This window comes from Homo sapiens, chromosome 10 (genome assembly GCF_000001405.40).
Source record: "Homo sapiens chromosome 10, GRCh38.p14 Primary Assembly".
Lineage (NCBI taxonomy): Eukaryota > Metazoa > Chordata > Mammalia > Primates > Hominidae > Homo > Homo sapiens.
In genome coordinates, this window is record NC_000010.11 from 47,600,837 (window position 1) to 47,620,221 (window position 19,385).

The following is a 19,385-nucleotide window of genomic DNA, read 5'->3' on the forward strand; positions in this document are numbered from 1 at the left end:
TGATAGGTGACTGTACACAAGAATAAGAACTTAGTACCTAGTCACTAATTTACTCGTTGAATAAACATTTATGGAGCTGAACATATTAATCACTGGGCAGACGCTGGGACACAAGAAAAATCTTTAAGATATGTCACTGCTTATTACCAATAATGTTCTAGTGAGTAACAAGAGTTAATAACACGACTAATTATAGTATTGTAAATATAATTACAGTTCCAATAAGACATACACACACACAGAACGATTTTGTCTGGTTGTTGAGGAAATCTTTATTGATTTAAGATATCTTTTGATGAACAGGATTTTTCAATAACTATCAGAAAAAGAATGTCTATGACTTATTTTTAAAAACTATTTTCTTATCTGCCTTGCATATCTGACACTTTCATCTCCTATCTTCCTTGAATACAATATAGAACCTGACATTTCTTTCCTTTCAAAGATCCTTAGAGCATTTCCTACATTTAATCTGAATGTCTTTCTCAGTAATTTTTCCCATACAAGCAATTATGGCTACATTTTCTTAATATAATCATGAAAAGGTGAGCAAAACTGAAAATTTAATTTGGAGAATAGATACGAAACATTCAATTAATTCAAGTTGTTGTTAGGCTGCATATGTTCAGCTTTCAGTGAAGATGAACAAATGATGATAAATGAGAAACTGAAAGAAAACAAACCAATAGGTGTTTTTTAAGAAACAATATTATTAAAGTGCATGTGTTTTCTACTGAATGAAAGCAACATAGACCTTTTCCTCACATTGGTAGTTAGTAAGATGTATAAAAACAACTTTGTAAAGAACAATTAATACAGGTTAATGAATCATTGTGAAAAGGGGATAACACACTTTATTGTAGCAATGATCTGCAAGGTGTTAAATGTTAAAAAAGATGAAGAACAATTGAGTAGTTATTTGATCACAGTGTTTATTAAATTGCTTTTCCTGTATCTGGCAAGCTTTACAGAAATGTCTTCAACAGAATAACTGTGTTAAAAGCCAAATGAAATGCATTTTGAAATATGATTCTTCACTTGGTGTGCAGGTATAATCTCAGGTGTAATTCAGACAAGAGACAAATTCAATTTTAAAGTTCCATTTGTTACAATTTGATGATTGTGATTAAAGAACCATAAAAATTTTATCTTTGACATTTCATTTTTTCCTCACAAAAGTATTCTACTGCAATTTTCTTAGTTTTCTTTCCTCTTAACTGTGGTGTTACCTATAAATGCTGGATTTCTCTGTTTTACGTGCAACAAATCTACAATCAACTATTTCTGGAACGCCACTTCATTTTAACAACAAGGACCCATAAATATTTTAAAAATTCAAAATGTTATATATAAAATGTTAAATGATACACATAATACATTTCTAAGTAGTAATTATGATTATGCCCATAATTATACCCATAATTTAAAAATATGTTACCTGAAGTAAATTATTATACGTTTTATGTTGGAAGTGTTCATTTATCTTTGATCTCTGTTAACACATTGTACTATGTGGTAATAATATAAACTGCCTTACTGGATAGTGATGTATCTTTGGTTTCATATTGTTACTGGACTAATATTCCAACACTATAGATAGTGAAATTTAACATTGAAACAATTTGATAATGCCATCAATGAATCCAGTTTTTAAGAGTGGGATCCATTTTCTAAAATTGAGTATATAGATACTTCATGAGATATCTTATCATGCATCCTAAACCAAACCAACCTCTTCCCCTGACTGTCTTACAGTGTATTATTATTATTTTATCCACCACAGCAACTAGTACATTTTTCAGAACCTAGTAGATATTCAGTCATTGTCTATGGAATACATGAACACATTCTGAATTTGGACAGTCATCATTCTTGGTGTTTTAAAACAAACACTTCCTGAATTGCATCCACTATTTTCTAAGAAGCCCTAGGAATTCATTGAAGGAGGGTATGGGTAAGTTGTGGGTGAAACTGTAAAGATGTAGGTCCTCCTCCCAAAACTTCTTCAGCGTATCTTCATTGCTGTTTGTTTGCTTGCTTGCTTGCTTATTTTAAAAGAGATCTAGATATAGTCTAATAAGAATTGTATAAATGTGATGTTCCACAATGATTCTAACTTACATGGTGCAAAATAATAAAATATTACATTCTACCTGTTTGTAGAAAACCATGGATACTATAAAGGATCTAGATTTTCTCTCTCCTTTCCTTCTAAGATTTATTCACTCAGCAAAGACTTACCTGGTGACTACTTAGTGCTAGACACTGTTTTAGATACTTGGGCTATAACAGTGAAAAGAACAGTAATTGAATTAATGAAAAGTTCATTTTAATTAGCTGTATGGTAAAATAGGAAACTAACAAAAATAAAATATAACATGTCAAATGGCAATGACTGCTCTGAGAAAAATAAAGGAGAATAAGAGATTCTAAATTATTATATACGGCCAATATTACCAACATATTATAGAAAGAAATGAGTTCATAATGTTTATCAGAGAATTCCATGAAAATAGCTAAATTTTTCTAGAAAGCCAGGCACTGATAAGAGAATAAACAAACAGATAACCGATTTTAATTTGATCTTCTCTTACAGGTGCAGCTATGATCTGCCATTGTATATAATATAAAATTGAAAATTGTTTATATTTCATTCACGTTAGCATATAATGTTCTTACTTTTTTTTTTTTTTGAGACGGAGTCTTGCTCTGTCACCTAGGTTGAAGCACAGTGGCACGGTCTCAGCTCACTACAACCTCCACTTCCCGGGTTCAAGTGATTCTCCTGCTCCAGCCTCCCAAGTAGCTGGGACTACAGGCAGGCACCACCACGCCTGGCTAATTTTTGTATTTTATTAGAGACGGGGTTTCACCAAATTGGCCAGGCTGGTTTTGAACTCCTGACCTCAGATGATCTGCCTGTGCCTCGGACTCCAATAGTGCTGGGATTACAGGCGTGAGCCACAGTGCCCGGCCAACGTTTTTACATTTAAATATCAGACATCTATCATATTCCTTTCTCCCTACTACAAACATTGTATGCTTTTCAATAGGCATAAGATTTTGTTTTCACTCAGGTTGGATTCAACAGGTATTATTTAGCAGTTCATTGCATCTATCCATTTACCCAATAGAGGAAGTATACAAGATACAAATGAATAAAGTGTAATAATTCTTATACTATTTGCCCTTATGTCATGTAACTGCTCCATGTTTGTATTCCGAAAACCTAACTGGGAGGGAAAACTCAGAAAAATAGAATAAAAAGTATTATATATCTCATACATCCTCATTTTTGAATATTCTAGGGGTACAGATCAGTATAAATAAAATACTCTGGTAAGTGACCACCACATCATCTGTTTGTCATTCTTAGACCCAGAGTATACCATTCTTTTAAGAAAGAAAACTTGCTACTGTACCTCCTACCCAGTAACATATATATCACATATCATATATATATCATAACATATATATCATATATCATATATACACATATCATATATCTCATATATATAACATATTTGCTACTGGTTAGGAGTAACACTCAGAAAATTATACTTAATAATGTAGTACAATTAGGTATAAATTCACTTAGTATTTTTAAATTTTACGTATATTCCTATTTATATGAATCGTCATTTAAAATCACATCTACTGATCCTGATAGCATTAAAGGCATAAGAGGTACTGAGGATATTAATTTAATTTTGTTTACAGCTATGCACAGATATTTTTAGTTCACTGAGATTTAATCCAGTAGTCTATTATTTGATTAATTGTACAGCTATCAAATCATTCAGGACTCCCACTGTTTCAACAACGAGAGTGGAAAAATATTTTTTCATTTATGTTTATATGCAGCTATTTGTAGTCTAAATTAATATCCTAGCAATTGATGGTGAAATTAAAATTATTTCTGTCAGATGTGGTAATTTGATGACAGTGGATAAGCATGGGAATAAAAGAAAGTTTTGAGGAAGAGGGGACAGTTTTTGTTTACTTAATGATTATTCCAAAGATGTTAAGTAAACATTCTATAGAATGCAACATATAGTGGAATACAGCATTGAAACAATTTAATAATGTAGTCAATGAATCCAGTTTTTAGAAATGGGATCCATTTTCTAAAACTGAGCATACAGATACTTCATGAGATGCTTTATCACGCATCCTAAACCAAACCAACTCCTTCCCTTGACTGTCTTGCAGTGCATAGGGCATCTCTACACTCTAGGAAAGGAATTATCAATCTGTTTATATGCCACTTATAAAATCATACTTAATGTACGATTAGGCATAAATTTACTTGCATTTTTAAATTTTGTAAAATGTTAACGGAAAGTGTTCTTGAAAAACATTTCTGAGAATTCCAAAAAATGAACAAATTTTAATACATAAGGGACAATATCTTTCTAGTGAATTGATTATCAGAGTGTAATGTGGTATGTTCTGATTATGTTACATAATATTCTGATTAGCAGAAAATTTTGAATAAGTGAATTTAGCAAAATGTTTAGAGGTCAAGAAAACTGTTTTAGACTGACTATGTTTTCTGACCCAAATGTAAGAAAGAACCCAATAAAAAGAGGCAGCCAGATAATGCTGTTGTTTGCAAACTTAAACAGAAGCTTGCATGTAATTTATGACTCAAAGAAAAATAAAAATAGAAGTTATACTTTATTTAGAACTTAATGACAGTGAAAAATTGCACATAAAAAGGAAGACTGTTGAATACAGCAAAAGCTGGAATTATATAAGAAATATAAACATAAACACACAAAATAAGTGTAAATTATAATGAAGTAAAAATATATCAAAGAGAAAGAAGGAAGCAGTACAATAAAAAATAAAGTTGATTCTTTAAAAACCATACTTAAATAGACAAATTTCCAGCCAGATTGTTTACCAAGTAAAGAGAAAAAGAAGGAGATAGATCAAAAGACACAAGATGATGATGAAAAGAGGGTCAGCACTTATAAACATAGTAGAAATTTAAGCCATAATGAGCACAAGAAAGCATTATCAACTTACTTTTGAATATATAAAATAGACACTTAAAAAACTGAACAAAAATGACTTACTAGTTTTAAAAGAAAAAAAAAAAAAATCAAACATCTATCCTTCCAAAAGTATAGACTTCAAAAGTATAGTCCCAGATGGGTGAACATAAACCACACTTTAAGCAAGAACTCTCAGTTATAACCACATGGGTGAACATAAACCACACTTTAAGCAAGAACTCTCAGTTATAACCAGATGGGTGAACATAAACCACACTTTAAGCAAGAACTCTCAGTTATAACCAGATGGGTGAACATAAACCACACTTTAAGCAAGAACTCTCAGTTATAACCACATGGGTGAACATAAACCACACTTTAAGCAAGAACTCTCAGTTATAACCAGATGGGTGAACATAAACCACACTTTAAGCAAGAACTCTCAGTTATAACCAGATGGTTGAACATAAACCACACTTTAAGCAAGAACTCTCAGTTATAACTGCTTGCAGTTTTAGAGGATCCCAGCCACACTCCTGAACCAGAGCTTGGCACTGGGTATTCCCTCTGGAACACCCTTTTATTTCCTTCTCTAAGCAAAGACATGGAATCAACCTAAATGCCCATCAGTGGTCTGCTGGATAAAGAAAATGTGGTATATAAACACCATGGAATACTATGCAGACATAAAAAAAGAACAAGATCTTGTTCTTTGAAGGGATGTGGATGTAGTTAGAGACCATTATCCTTAGCAAACTAACACAGGAACAGAAGATCAAACACTGCATGTTCTCACTCATAGGTGGGAGCTAAATGATGAGAACACACGGACACATAGAGTGGGGGACAACACACACTGGGGCCTTTTGGAGGGTGGAGAATTGGAGGAGGGAGAAGATACAAAAGAATAACTAGTGGTTACTAGGCTTAATACTGGGGTGATGAAATAATCTGTACAACAAACCACCATGATACAAGTTTACCTATGTAATGAACCTGCACTTGTACCCCTGAACTTAAAAGTTAAAAATGAATGAAGCCTGTCAGAACCACCCATTTAGCAGTCTAACATTTTCCCTAGTATTCCCAAATCCCTTTGCCTAGCCAACATTTTTCACAGCACTTTTTGTCTTCAAACTACTGGCCTGAAGCAATCTGGCTTAGCTTTCTGAGTAGCTGGAATTGCAGGTGTACCAGTGTGCCCAGCCACAGTTTTTTCAAGACCTGTTTAAGACAACAGGTTAGAGAAAATCAAGATAATATTTTGAGGGGGAAGAAGGTAAAATCAATTAAGACAGGGTGCACAGAGTACTTGAATGGTACAGATAATGTTTATCCTTTGTACTAAATGGTGTGTATGTGGGAATTGGTTATATTATTTTGACTGTTTGTAGTCATATTATATACATATGTGTATAAATAAAAATAAAAGAAAAAATATAAGCTAAATTTATAGATATATTAATTTTATTTAAATATAACAAAGATTTGCCAGTATTCAAATGTCTGCAATGATTCTTAAAATGCACAGAACCTGTGTTTAGGTACAGTATCACTGTTCATCCAGCCTTCATTCACTCGAATCTACTCTTACCTAAAATTTGTACCGTAAGTAAAATTACATTCTGTATGACAGAAAGCAAATTACAATATTAGAACAACATTATGGAAAATTGGCATAACATTGTACAATCATCCATTACTTTATTATTTATCATTTTGCAAATTTTTATTATATTAGTAAAAAAGTCTAACTGTACTTAATAGCTAATACATATATTATTTGATATTTTTAAAGACCATTATTAAAATAATAATAATTTGGGGGTGAGAAGGCCTATTGAAAAATGACCAACGTGGAAATCATAAATAAGTTTGATGCAACAAATATTTGTGAGTCTTATAGTTAAAAATGTAAAAATTCATTATAAACAAAGCTAAAAGACAATAATATGCATTGGGAAATATTTGCAACATTTACTTCAAAGGTGGATGTCCTTAAGAGAATTTTTACAAATTAATAAACATTTAAAAAGGTGAGGAGTGGCAATAGCTATGAGAGACAATTTACAAAAACATAAAAAATATGAAAACTGTTTAATCTGTAAGTACATCAATAAAAATTTTATTATTGTAGTTATTTTATCTATTAAATTAGGAAAGGTCAATACAATTGGTAATCTTCCAAGTAAATATAGGGGAGAAGGTCTTTCTCATACACTTATAAGAATATTATTTTGTTAGAATGCAATTAAATAAACACTTGGTAAAAATCCATATCCTTTGTCCAAACAATTTAAGTTCTAGACCTCTAGAATCCACATGTACATATACATATATACATACATATACACACACACATTCACACCTATATATTAACAACTCAAATCCAACTCCAACTCTTTTGTAAGTAGTATTTTGTCCAACAAATAAATTTATCTCAAATTCTTCTTGACTTTTCTCCATTATAGAGCCAGCAATTCTACGTGTAACTCTACCTCTAATTCCTTTATTTGCATTTATTTCTGCTTTCAAACCCTTATATGAGGCAAGTGGGATTAATTTATTTCATTACCTTAACTAGATTCATCGCTTTACTTTGTCAAACTCTGATTGATTTGCTCAACTCAATCTTATGTGTTCAAGAACTTAATGTGGATTCCTGTTCCACCTTATGAAAGTCTTTTCCAAAAACTTGCTAAATTCTTGACTCAAGACATTGCAGTCAGTAATGCATTTCTCTCCTCAAATACAATGGAACTGTGTTCTAATAAATACTCTTCAACAATGTGCAGTTATTTCTCCACAACTATCAATTCCCCTTAAAGCAGAATTTTACTAAAAATGGCTTTATCCTTCTGGGGATAATCAGTAAAATGGCAATTGGTGGGTGAATTAAAAATATACTAAAAGCAGATGGCAGAACATGAGTGCAGATTTTTACTACAAAGCTTAGGAAAAGCAAAAGGAACTTGAATAGAGAAAATGCAGAAAAGCCCTCCTTTGGCTATTAGGACGGAGAGAGCAGAAGTATGTTTAGAGCTTCAAAGAGTCTGACTCTTTGCAACTGTTTATCTTAGGACTTTAAGGAAGTAAAAGGTGCAAGTGAAACACTCTGGATTATAAAATAGAATCTGACACAGAGGATTCAACCCAGTTAATATGCATGTTGCTTACATGGAAATGCTGAGAAATTTTTAGCAAATAGATAGAAAATGACAGATGGTAGGTATATAGAAAATAATTGTAGGAAAAAATGTAAAATGAAGATTTATGGTATTCCTTTTATATTTTATTTTGTTAATATGTTGCCCATAATGCTTTATTTCAAAGAATGCAAAACCAAAAAAGTAGTCCCTTCCTAACTTCCCCTGCAGCCTTGTCTTGTGGAGCTTGTATTTTACTTCATGAGAAATGCCAAGGAGATGTCATTTAAGCTGAAAACCTCCAGCAGAATTAGCCACAATATTTGGGAAAAAGATGTTTCCAGAAAAAGAAAGAGCTAGTATAAATGTCCTTAGGCAAGAAAGAGCTCACGATGATTGAGGAACAACAACAAAAAAGATTATTTCACTCAAGAAAAGTGAATTGGGAGTACAGATACAAATGATGAGGTCTGAATATGATTCATGGGGCAGGTCACACTAGGGTGTTTGGGTATGGTCTAAATGAATGCGCGGCATGAGTTGCTTTAAGGAGAGGAGTGACATGATTTGACAAGTTCTTAAGAGATCCCTTTGATTACTCTGGGGAGAATAGAACATAAAGTAGCAGAAATGAAAGCAAAGGGAGATAGTAGGAAATAATTGCACATTTATAAGCAAGAAATGATGTTGGCTTGGACTCTGGTTATAGCAACAAATAAAGAAAAAAGGAAATACTGAGAAGAGTTGATTGGATTTGCTGACATTCTCAACATAAATGGAAGTCAGTATTTTTTTCTAATAAATATAATATGCGTAAATATTTTTAAATATTTAATTCTTTTACCACTAATGGGGCACGAGTAGACTTCAGGGAACATGCCAGTACAGAACCATATAAATGTGATCATTGGTAGAGATAGGAATTAATAGGCATTTGAATGTCTCCCTCAACCTGGAATACCACAAATAAAGCTCTTTGCTTTTCATGTTGCATTGTTATCATACCCTATAGTTTTCTGCCATTTTCAGTTACTTAATATTATGTTTTGCCTCAATAGATTATAGTGCTTTCTCTTGTTGTGTTATATTTGCAGCAATTATTAGTGAAGTTTTAAACTTCAATATCACATCTAAAACAGAGCAAAATTGTTGCATACTATTTTCCATTAAAACATGAGACCACTATGACAAAAAAAGCTAAACATGTCATGAAATGACTTACATTGGATGAAAGTATATGCAATATATTAAGAAATAATCTCTGACTTTATAGTTTTTTATTTGTAGTTTTTACTAGAACGTGAAATCAATATGTGAACCCTGGCTGGAGTTTGCATCTAAATGTAATAAAATAAAAGAAACTTTAATATTATCATTGAAGCATTAATGTACATTAGCGAGCTGGACTATATAAAATAAACTTTATTATATTTAGCATTTGATTTTTATTTATGTATATTATAAAATGAATATAGTTTATATTATAATAAAAATAAAAGAAGTAGTATGTTAACTAATTAGTATAAGATGCCTACTAACTACATATCTGCCTAAATTTTTGACCCATGAAACTTCAATGATTTGTGTTAATGTTAAGGCCTACATTTATTTATATATATATATAATTAGGGGAGGAATTGTTAATTCTTTCATTTTAAAAATTTTAACTTTGCAGACAAAGTTGACTATACCTGTGGCAGAACACTGCAACAGCTATAAATAAATAAATAAATAAATAACTTTTATTTTCTGTGGAGCTCCCAGAATTATGAATTATTCTGTAGATTGAGATTTGCCAAGGTCCTTTTCTTAGAGTTGCAAGAGCATAGGAGAAAGTCAAGGGAAATAATAAGCAGCACTTGATTTCCTTTACCACAGTGGATGGGCTTCTAAAACCAAATTACCTGACTATAAATCCAGATCTATCTTCTGCAGGCTATGTGATTGTGGATGTTACCTCTTCTGTGCTTCAATTTCCTCATCTGTAAAATGGAATTATAGCCTACCCTATTTTGTAGTATAGTGAGGATAAATAGAATGAATGTATGTAGTTCTTAGAATAGAGCATGGCACGTGATAAGTGGTCAATAAAATATTGTTTACTACTAGTTATGTAACAGTCACTTCACACATAATAATGATTTAATAAAGGAATAAGAAGAATGTAGAGCACAGCTTCTCAACATTGGCACTATGACATTTTGGGTCAGACAATTATTTAATGCAGAGGGGGCTATAGGATGCTTAGCAGTGTCTCTGGCCAGTAGTGTACCTCCTCCTCTCCAAGTTTTGACAATCACAAAGGCTTCTAGACATTGACAACTATCCCCTGAAAAGTAAAATTGTCCCTGCTTGAGAACACAAATATAAAGTAACCACTCAAAGATTACATTACTAATTTTAATTGAATTTGACCAGCATTATGAAATAAGCATAAGCTTAAGTTTCTACCCTTGATTTTGTCATTGTCAGTTAGGGCAGCAGAGAACTCCAATTCTGAAAATTCTGAACATGTGCTAATACCCTACAATATAATCAAAACTTTCATTTTTGAATTGTATTTCTTAAAAATTAGAAAATTTATTAAGCAGCAACATGGAATAATTAACCACAAAAATGTTGAACATAAATCTCATTTGCCTAAGTTCTCTTTTGAAGTCCTGTTTCACTATATAATTATTATGTGTTTTGTTTCACAGCTAGATAACAGCCAGTTTTTTCTCTGAGCCTAAGGTTGCTTCTCAAATTTATGGTGGTGGCTTATAGCTCTTCTAAGTTTCTATAAAACTTCAGCAACCTGCAGCAGGTTGAAATTTATTGATATTGAGTTATTCACCAGGTCATATTACAAAGTCAGGGACTGACTCACCCAAACCAGATGCTCCCCCTGCCACCAGATCACTAGGAGATATTGCAATCATTTCCCCTGGCTACTAAATTAGCAAAAATTCTCAGGGAGAGAGAAGGGCAAGATGGCACAGTTTAATACTTAGTATTATTCTTTTATTCTTTATCATCATTCCCTTTGAATGGATTAAGAATCTGACATAAATATAACTTGCTAAAGAAAGGGTGTTAGGTGAGAGGGAAGTCATATTGGTCTAAGAAAAGTCTTAGAGAAATATTTGAAAAGAGGTAGAGAGAAGGGCTGGATTGGAGTGGGTGGGTGGGGAATCACACTAAGGAGATGGATCATTCATAATTTCTTTAGACATGGTGAGGCAGCCACAGGAGTCTGAACTTGTTGAAACCCTAGTCTGAAGCCAATAAAAGTGCTCAATAAGGTCACACTTTGATCTTCTCTGCCTAAAGCAGTTATTCACCCTATCTTTGGGAGAGGAAACATCTACAAACCTTTGTTCTCTTTGTTAGCAGAGGGATGACATGAATTTGGGAAAAATGTTTGAGAGACAAAATGAGATTTAGCTCGAGCAAGTGATCGACTTGTGCTGGGTTGCAAATGGACTTTTTCAACAGGCAGGTTGAAACTGTGCTTCAGCAATTAGGATATCAGATATAAACATCCATGCACAGAATTGGAAAGGTTCAGCTTTCATGGTTGCTATGGTTTGAATGTTCCCCCCAAAACTCATGTTGAAACTTAATCCAAAATATGACAATATAGAGAACGAGCTTTTTAAAGAGGGGATTGGATCATGAAAGTTCTTCCCTCATGAGTGGATTAATCCATCGATAAGTCAGTGGATTAATAGGTTATCTTGGGAGGGAAACCATTAGATTTATAAGAAGGGGAAGATAGACCTGAGCTAGCATGTTAGCATACTCAGCCCTCTTGCCATACGATACCCTGTGCTACCTTGGGACTCTTCTGAGAGTCCCCACAAGCAAGAAGGCTCTCAAAAGATATGCCCCATCGACCTTGGATTTCCAAGCCTCCTTAGCTGTAGAAAATAAATTCAGTTCTTTGTAAATTACTCAGTTTTAGGTATACTGCTATAAGCAACAGAAAATGGACTAAGACAATGGTCTTATCCAGAACTTTGTAAACTAGAATTGGCTGTTTAGATTCAGTATGTATTTTTTTTACAGATTCAAAATAATTTTGTTTTGAACTGTACAATGAAGGAGTGTCATAAGCTTTTCCACATGTAGAGGCTCTAAATATCAGTCTGGCATTGTGATAAAGCAGAGAGTTTAAACCCAATCCTATTTGTGCCCCATGACCGTTCTTTCTGGTTACAGTTCAGAAAAGTAGGAATGGATGTGTAACTCAAGGAGAAGCATATAATACATGAAGCTTTTTCTCAAAATTTTGATTTAGAAAATGAGGTATTTTAGTATGTTAATTATAGGCATCTCAACTGAGAAGTCTAATAGCATTGGGCCAGAATTGTCGCAGCAGTCCAAAGCCATGGATAAACTTAAGTTAAAGGGAGCAAATACTAACAGCCTTCCAAATTAATCTGTATTGGAGAAGATGATAAACAGATGAATGGGAACTAGAAACCATGCAGACTTGGAACTAGATATAAAACAAACAGCTATCTAATGATTTCTTATTTACTCTGAGCCCAAGATATTTTTGTATCCTTTTAGTTAAACCTCTGTTTTACTAAGGAAATTTAAATAAGATTCTGTCTCTTGCAAGAAAATAACATCTAAGACATCTTCGTATTTAATACTGCCTTAATTTTGTTTACTCCAGTGGTCCCCAACCTCTTTGGTACCAGGGATTCGTTTCGTGGAAGACAATATTTCCATGGACAGGGTTGGGGGGAAGGTTTTGGGATAAAACTGCTCCACTACTCAGATCATCAAGCACTAGATTCTCATAAGGATCAAACTAGATCACTTGCATGCGCAGTTCACAGTAGAGCTGGTGCTTCTGTGAGAATCAAATGCTGCCAATGATCTGATAGGAGGCTGAGCTCAGGAGTAATGCTCACTCATCCACCTCTCCCATTCTGCTGTGTGGCCCAGTTCCTAACAGGCCCGGTACCAGTTTGTGGCCCAGGGGTTGGGACCCCTGTTTTACACTATAACATTTCCACACTTCTCTCATGGCCTTTCAGATCCACTGCTTGTCTCAACTCAAGTCTGGCTACCTGAAAATTCGATTATTTTTTCAAAGTGAATTTGAATATCTTTATGTTGAATACACAGTCTCCACTTTTACGCAGCCCCTACTGTCTTATATCATACCTCTCTAGCCCTGGAAGACATCAACTTTACATTCACTTTTCCTGTTTCAGGGCTATTATTTTATCTTCAATTACCAAAATCTATCTACATTTAGATACTTTAACTTGCAAATACATAGTAAACAATTACAGATTATTTAAAATAGCAGTTTTCCCATGAGTATAAAAAAAAGGAACAATAAAAGCAATATTTGTTGAGTATTTTAAAGTGCCAGGCACTGAGCAGTGTGCTTTGCTTAAGTAAATGTTTGACAAAATAAAAGGTCCTTTAAAAGTTCCATGCTTTAACATTAACAACCATATAAAGATAAGGTTAGACTTCCTATCAAATTAGCAGTTTTGTGAAGATAGGCCTTTTCTGCTATATAGAATCTCCTCAAACCTGAGTGTTCGTATTATGGATTATCTAGTATACTCCATAGCTATCAAGTTTGTGTATGTTTCTTTCTCAAGCAAGTTATCTTATTTCTCCTTATTTCTTCAGACTTATCCTTTCTTTTCTTTTCTTTTCTTTTTTCTTTTTTTTTTGAGACAGAGTTGCACTCTTGTTGCCTAGGCTGGAGTGCAATGGCATGATCTCGGCTCATCACAACCTCTGCCTCCCGGGTTCAAGTGATTCTCCTGCCTCAGCCTCCCGAGTAGCTGGGATTACGGGTATGTGCCACCACGTCCAGCTAATTTTGTATTTTTAGTAGAGACGGGGTTTCTCCATGTTGGTCAGGCTAGTCTCGAACTCCGCCCGCCTCAGCCTCCCAAAGTGCTGGGATTACAGGCATGAGCCACCGAGCCTGGCCCCTAACCTCTCATTTCTAAGGAAATGACAAATTAAGTCTTTTATGCAAATACAGTGTAGGGTCATTTAAAAATATTTTTTGTAATAGGTGTCTCTGTACATAAATCTATTTAATTTTTTCTCTTTTACAGTAAAAAAGGCAATACTGTGTTTTAGTTTCACCAAAAATTTCAGTAGACCATTGTGTAAAGGGATACATTTATATGAATTTTTTTGACATAGTAAAAACTAAGAGGGGAAGTTATTCAAATATTTCAGCATAAATTCCCTTTCCTTGAAATTGCAATCGTCATGTGTAGCTACAATTCCTCAGCATTCCTCTGTAGTAAAAGTAGCTACAATTCCTCAGTATAAGAAACACTAAGGTGGAAAATTAATTGTTAAGAGAACAAAGTCATAACAAAACAACAAAACAAAAAAGTAGGATATAGAAACATTAACTCAATATCACTCTTGAAGCTCACATAAGAGAAATTATTGTACTAGACACTGTGGTTCATCATCCAGACCCCATCTTCATGGGAAGACATCGATCCCACACTCATGGGGAACATCAGCAGCTGACCATTCACACCTGTACCTTTCACTAAATATTGTCCTAAGACAAACTAAAATGAACTAACTCGCCCAAAGTGGTGCCTCCTTTCAGAGAGCAGCCATTGACCCATGGCTGGCTAATGTAGTTATACAAACATGCAACTGCTTTGCATCAATTTGGGACAACTCTGAAAGAGGCCCAGTAGGATTGGCTGAAGACTCAGTTCAAAGTTGTCAAATAAAGCACACCATGCCCAGCTGAATTTACATTGTTTACTATGAGTATATCCCATGAAATATTTAGGAATTACATATACTAAACATTATTCATGATTTATATGAAATTTAAATTCAATGGGCAACTTGTACTTTTACTTGGTAAATCTGGGAGCTTTTCCTTAGTTGCATCTGCATGGCAGGTAAGCATGTCGGTATGCCCAGACCTCCCTTCTTTGCTTCCTTATAATTGAGTCCCAGAAAACAAGCAATCATCTCAGAGCCAATAGGCATTGAGTCTTTTGATAATCAAACTCCCAAAGGTCAAGGAAAAAGAGAGTATCCCAAAAGCACCAAGAGAACAAACAAACACATAACATACAATGGAGCTTCAGTATATCTGGCAGCAGACTTTTCAGTGGAAACCTTACAGCCAGGAGAGGGTGACATGACACATTTGAAGTGCTGTTTATGGGTCCCTTCGGATTGTAACGGGGAAAACAAGAATTGTAGCAGGAAGAATTAAAAGAAAAGAGAGAAGCTTTTTTTTTTTTTTAATAATCTGATCTTTTTCTATTGAGAGGCAGGCACCCAAATGCTGCTTCTGTCGGGAGTGAATCTGTAAATTCTTTGTAACTCTGTGCTACCTATTTGTTAACCTGTGTAATTTGTTCTCCTGCTGACTTCTTGCAAACACTTGCCAGTGGGTATCTGAAGCCTCTTACATCTTCTGTGGCACGGACTTGGCCTATATTTAGCATATTCACTCATCTAAAGTGGGAAGAAGAATCTGGCATCTTTTCTCTTTCTCCATCTTGCCATCAAAAGCTGCCTCAATGAGCATGTAGCCTTCAGAATTTTGAAAGCAAGAAGCAGGCAACAACTGGCCATGTTTAGCTTCATCTTGAAACTCTTGAGGACACCTATCAAACTTTCCCAAAACTGTCTCATCATGTATGGTTCCATTGCAGGATGGGTGCAATGCTGAGTGCCAGAAGGAGAGGGATATCCCATTCTTTCCTTCTTGAAATTGCTCCCAGTCTTTTTGAGCTCTCTTCCTGTTTGGAAGCAAGTTTAGTTCTCCTTACAAAAGAGAAAATAATTAAAAGCACTCTCACTTAGGTAACTAATTCACTTTCTATATGATAATTCTTAGAATGTCTAGTCCTCTCTTTACATAAGAGTACAGGTAATTGAGGTCAGTGAAGGTTTTAGTTACAGAACTGGTCTGGCTACTTTTTATTAAAACCTGCAAAGACTTAACTGTTCTTCTATAATTTAGGGATACTCATCATTTAATAGGGAATAAACAAAAATTTGAGACAAAAGGAAATTCTGTATCCATGTCATATATATACATATAAATTACATATAGAAAAAATGGTTTAGAAGAGGAGTTAATATCAATTTAAAAACGGGAATTTTAAAGCTGGGAATAATACATAGCATAAATATGTATAAGGATTCAGCAAAATGTTAGTTGAAACAGGGGCCTAAATAAACTTGAAGTTTAAGAAAGTTAAGAAATGAACCCAAATATGCATAAATCTGAGGACAAAATTTGATATTGCTGCTAATAAAAAAGGGAGGGGCATCATATTGGGAGGCTTCATTAATAAAAGTAACAAATTATGAGAACAAATAGTCTTGTTATAGTTTATCTGGTGAAGCATTTTAATGAGGCATAGCTGTCTGTTCCATTACCGAACGACTTTTCTTATGTGTGCTCTGGTAGATTTTCATATGGCTACACTGAAAGATATTCCCAAATGTCTGACTAATAACTCTATCTATAGGCAACTGTTCTGAAGGTTTAAAGTAAGGAGGATGGGGTTCATTTAGAACCAGTGGGAAAAAATGCTAATGCTGGGCTTTGAATTTTATGGATGCTGTAGCTGTTATTTTTCAATTAAATAAATGTTTTATATGCCATGTTTTGTAGCTATCGCAGTTAAACTGCCCTCATCTTTTTGCCCAGCAAAAAACCCATTAAGATCTTCACTGAGATTGAGTCTAGGTTTTTTATAAAATTAATAACTTTGCTACTGGTTTCTCAAAAATGAGTAGAAATGACTTTTCAATGCAAATGCCAGTTTTTGATACAGTGAAATTATCCTGTCTGCAGTGACTATTTGAACTTTTATCGGCAATTGGACACTGAGAGACTTAGTATATGAACAGATTTATCCTTAGATTATCTAATACATGCTTTGCGCCCTGCACCATAAAACCTGATCTATTTTTAAAGCCTTGGTTGTTCTGAAAAATGAAATGAAATTGTATTAAATGGCATTTTGACTGGGGAGAAAAAAAAAACTTCATGTGGTTTAAGAGAATGGATGCCGGCAATTGACTGTCTACTGTTTATTCAAAACTTATAGATTAGCAGCCAGATGTGGCAGAAAGTTGGCTGATTTTTCATTCACAACAAAAACGATGCTGTGCTTAATGAATGGAGGTTTGTTATCCCAGTAATAAGTAAAAGGAACATGAAAGCCCTTGTGTTTAATGTTCATGCAAATAAGCTATTTGCAGGTGGCTTTTGGGCAGGGTCAAGTATTTTCAAATATTTTTCAAAACTGGGTCAAGTTTTTTAATTGTCAAAAATTACCAGCTAGAGGAAAACCTCCTAAAAACTTTATTATGCTATTTCCCAAGTAAATGAAATGACAAGTCACTTATCATTTAATAAATTACATATGAAAATTCTTTTCCTTATGATTTCGTCAATAAATAAATTCTAGAGGATTCTAGATATATTTATTTGGCATCTTTTTTTTAATGTGGTATCAAATTTTGTGGATATTCTTTAGAGAATCAAATTCTTAAAATGGCATTGAACATTTAATTTAAAATGTCCTTCTTGAACCATACATGTTTATTAAAAAGTTATTTTATATAGGTTATCCATTAAAAAACAATTTTCTATATATGTAAACATTTATGATAACTGCTCATTATTTTGGTCCATACTTATTTATCTACCTATTTAGTAAACAATACAAATCATACGCTTTGTAAAAATAAAGGCCTAGTCTAATATTACTCTCTGTCAGAAATAAAATAATTCAGAGAAGTCTGTATTACAAGACAAAATAAAACAAAATAGAAAATGATGAGAATCACAAAACCATTGCCAAATTTCCAGCTATGACATTTACTCTCCATGTGGCCTTAGGTATCTTACTCTCTTATTTTAACCTTTCTTTGATTACTGTAAAAATAATTTGTTACTAAGAAGCCCTCTTGCTTTAGTAGCTGTGAGTATAAAATTAAGAACATAATTCTCAAAAAGTGTTTTAGTCTTCCTGGAAACATTTTAAAATATCAATTAATCATTGAACAATACACAATCGCTTGATCATTTGCTAAGAGAGGGTTGCATTCTCATCTCTGTTCACTTCTGTCCTTTCTGAGACTTATACAGGTATGAGAGCTAGAAAAAATATTAATGTGTAGTAATTCAAAATTTCTCATTCATGAATCACTTCAGCAGTGCAAAGAATACTCTGTAATTTTTAAAAGGCATTTTTATTAATATACTTCTACTATTCTACCCCAATCAACAGCAAATTTACCTAAATCATGAGACTACTGGTACTGCTAATTTTTAGAAAAGAATGACATAAACTGCTATTAAACCCAATGAATCCTTTACCCACAATGAGAATGTCCACGAGTCAGCTCTTCTGACCCTCTGGCCAGTGTTCTGGAGTTACTGATCTCCAACTTTCTAATTGAACTCTAGCTTGGTATGTGAGAGCAGCCATGGGTGAACCAGTGGAGCAAGATTTAAGCCTTGACATTGCCATTAATGATTCACCACCTGTTGCAAGTTCAATCAGTTATTCACACACCAAATTGTGGCCGCAGAATTCTGGGAGATAAACTAAGTTAGAAAGATTGGGGGTGAATAAATGTTTGCTAAATCAGAATTGTTAATGATAGAAATCTGTATCTTAACAAAGTTGAGAAATCTTGTCTTCTTAACGTGTATTTATTGACTTCCCAGGATATGTCTTAGTGAGGAAACATAGCTTCTGGCATTTATTATTAGAGTGATAAGGAATAATAAACCACAGTGCTTGAGAGACAGGGAAAGGCAGGGGGAGCTAGAGACACAGTAACAGAAGCAGATTAATTGACTGATGAAATAAACTTGAGATAAGAGAGCACAGAGGAGGTTCAAGAGATGGAACCATATATTCCTCTCTATCTGCTCCCACCATCAAGGAAATTCATAGCATATTTTATAATGAATCCCTGATAAATATTAGTCTATAATTGAAAATCTATTAAAATGACTATTTCTTAGGGTACACAAAAATATTACAACAAAACAAGTAAAGAAAAGTTGCCATGGGATGGAATATTATATTTTCCTGCATGTCTGCTTCAAGGCAGAATCCTAATGGTCATGTATGTAGGTAAATTATTCTTTTTACAGCAACTTCTGGGAGGTGGTATTTGGTGGAGTATAAAAGGCAAGGGGTGTAGTGAGGGTAAAGTGTAAGTACTTTGATCTTGA

At 33.8% G+C, this 19,385-nt stretch overlaps 1 protein-coding gene and 1 long non-coding RNA gene across 3 annotated transcripts in view; both read right to left on the bottom strand.

Moving 5' to 3' along the window:
• Window positions 1-18,644, bottom strand: part of LINC02675 (long intergenic non-protein coding RNA 2675) — a 32,287-nt gene extending 13,643 nt beyond the window's left edge. The window contains exons 1-2 of one of the 2 annotated variants that reach the window (XR_945945.4): window positions 18,520-18,633; window positions 10,054-10,057 (exon numbers count right to left, since the gene is read on the bottom strand). This is a non-coding gene — a long non-coding RNA (long intergenic non-protein coding RNA 2675). Of the gene's footprint in view, window positions 1-10,053; window positions 10,058-18,515 lie in introns of both variants that reach the window. The other variant, XR_945946.4, reaches the window with a different exon arrangement.
• The window catches only part of ANXA8 (annexin A8), a 523,804-nt gene that overhangs the window by 132,844 nt on the left and 371,575 nt on the right, over window positions 1-19,385 (bottom strand). The window lies entirely within an intron of this gene.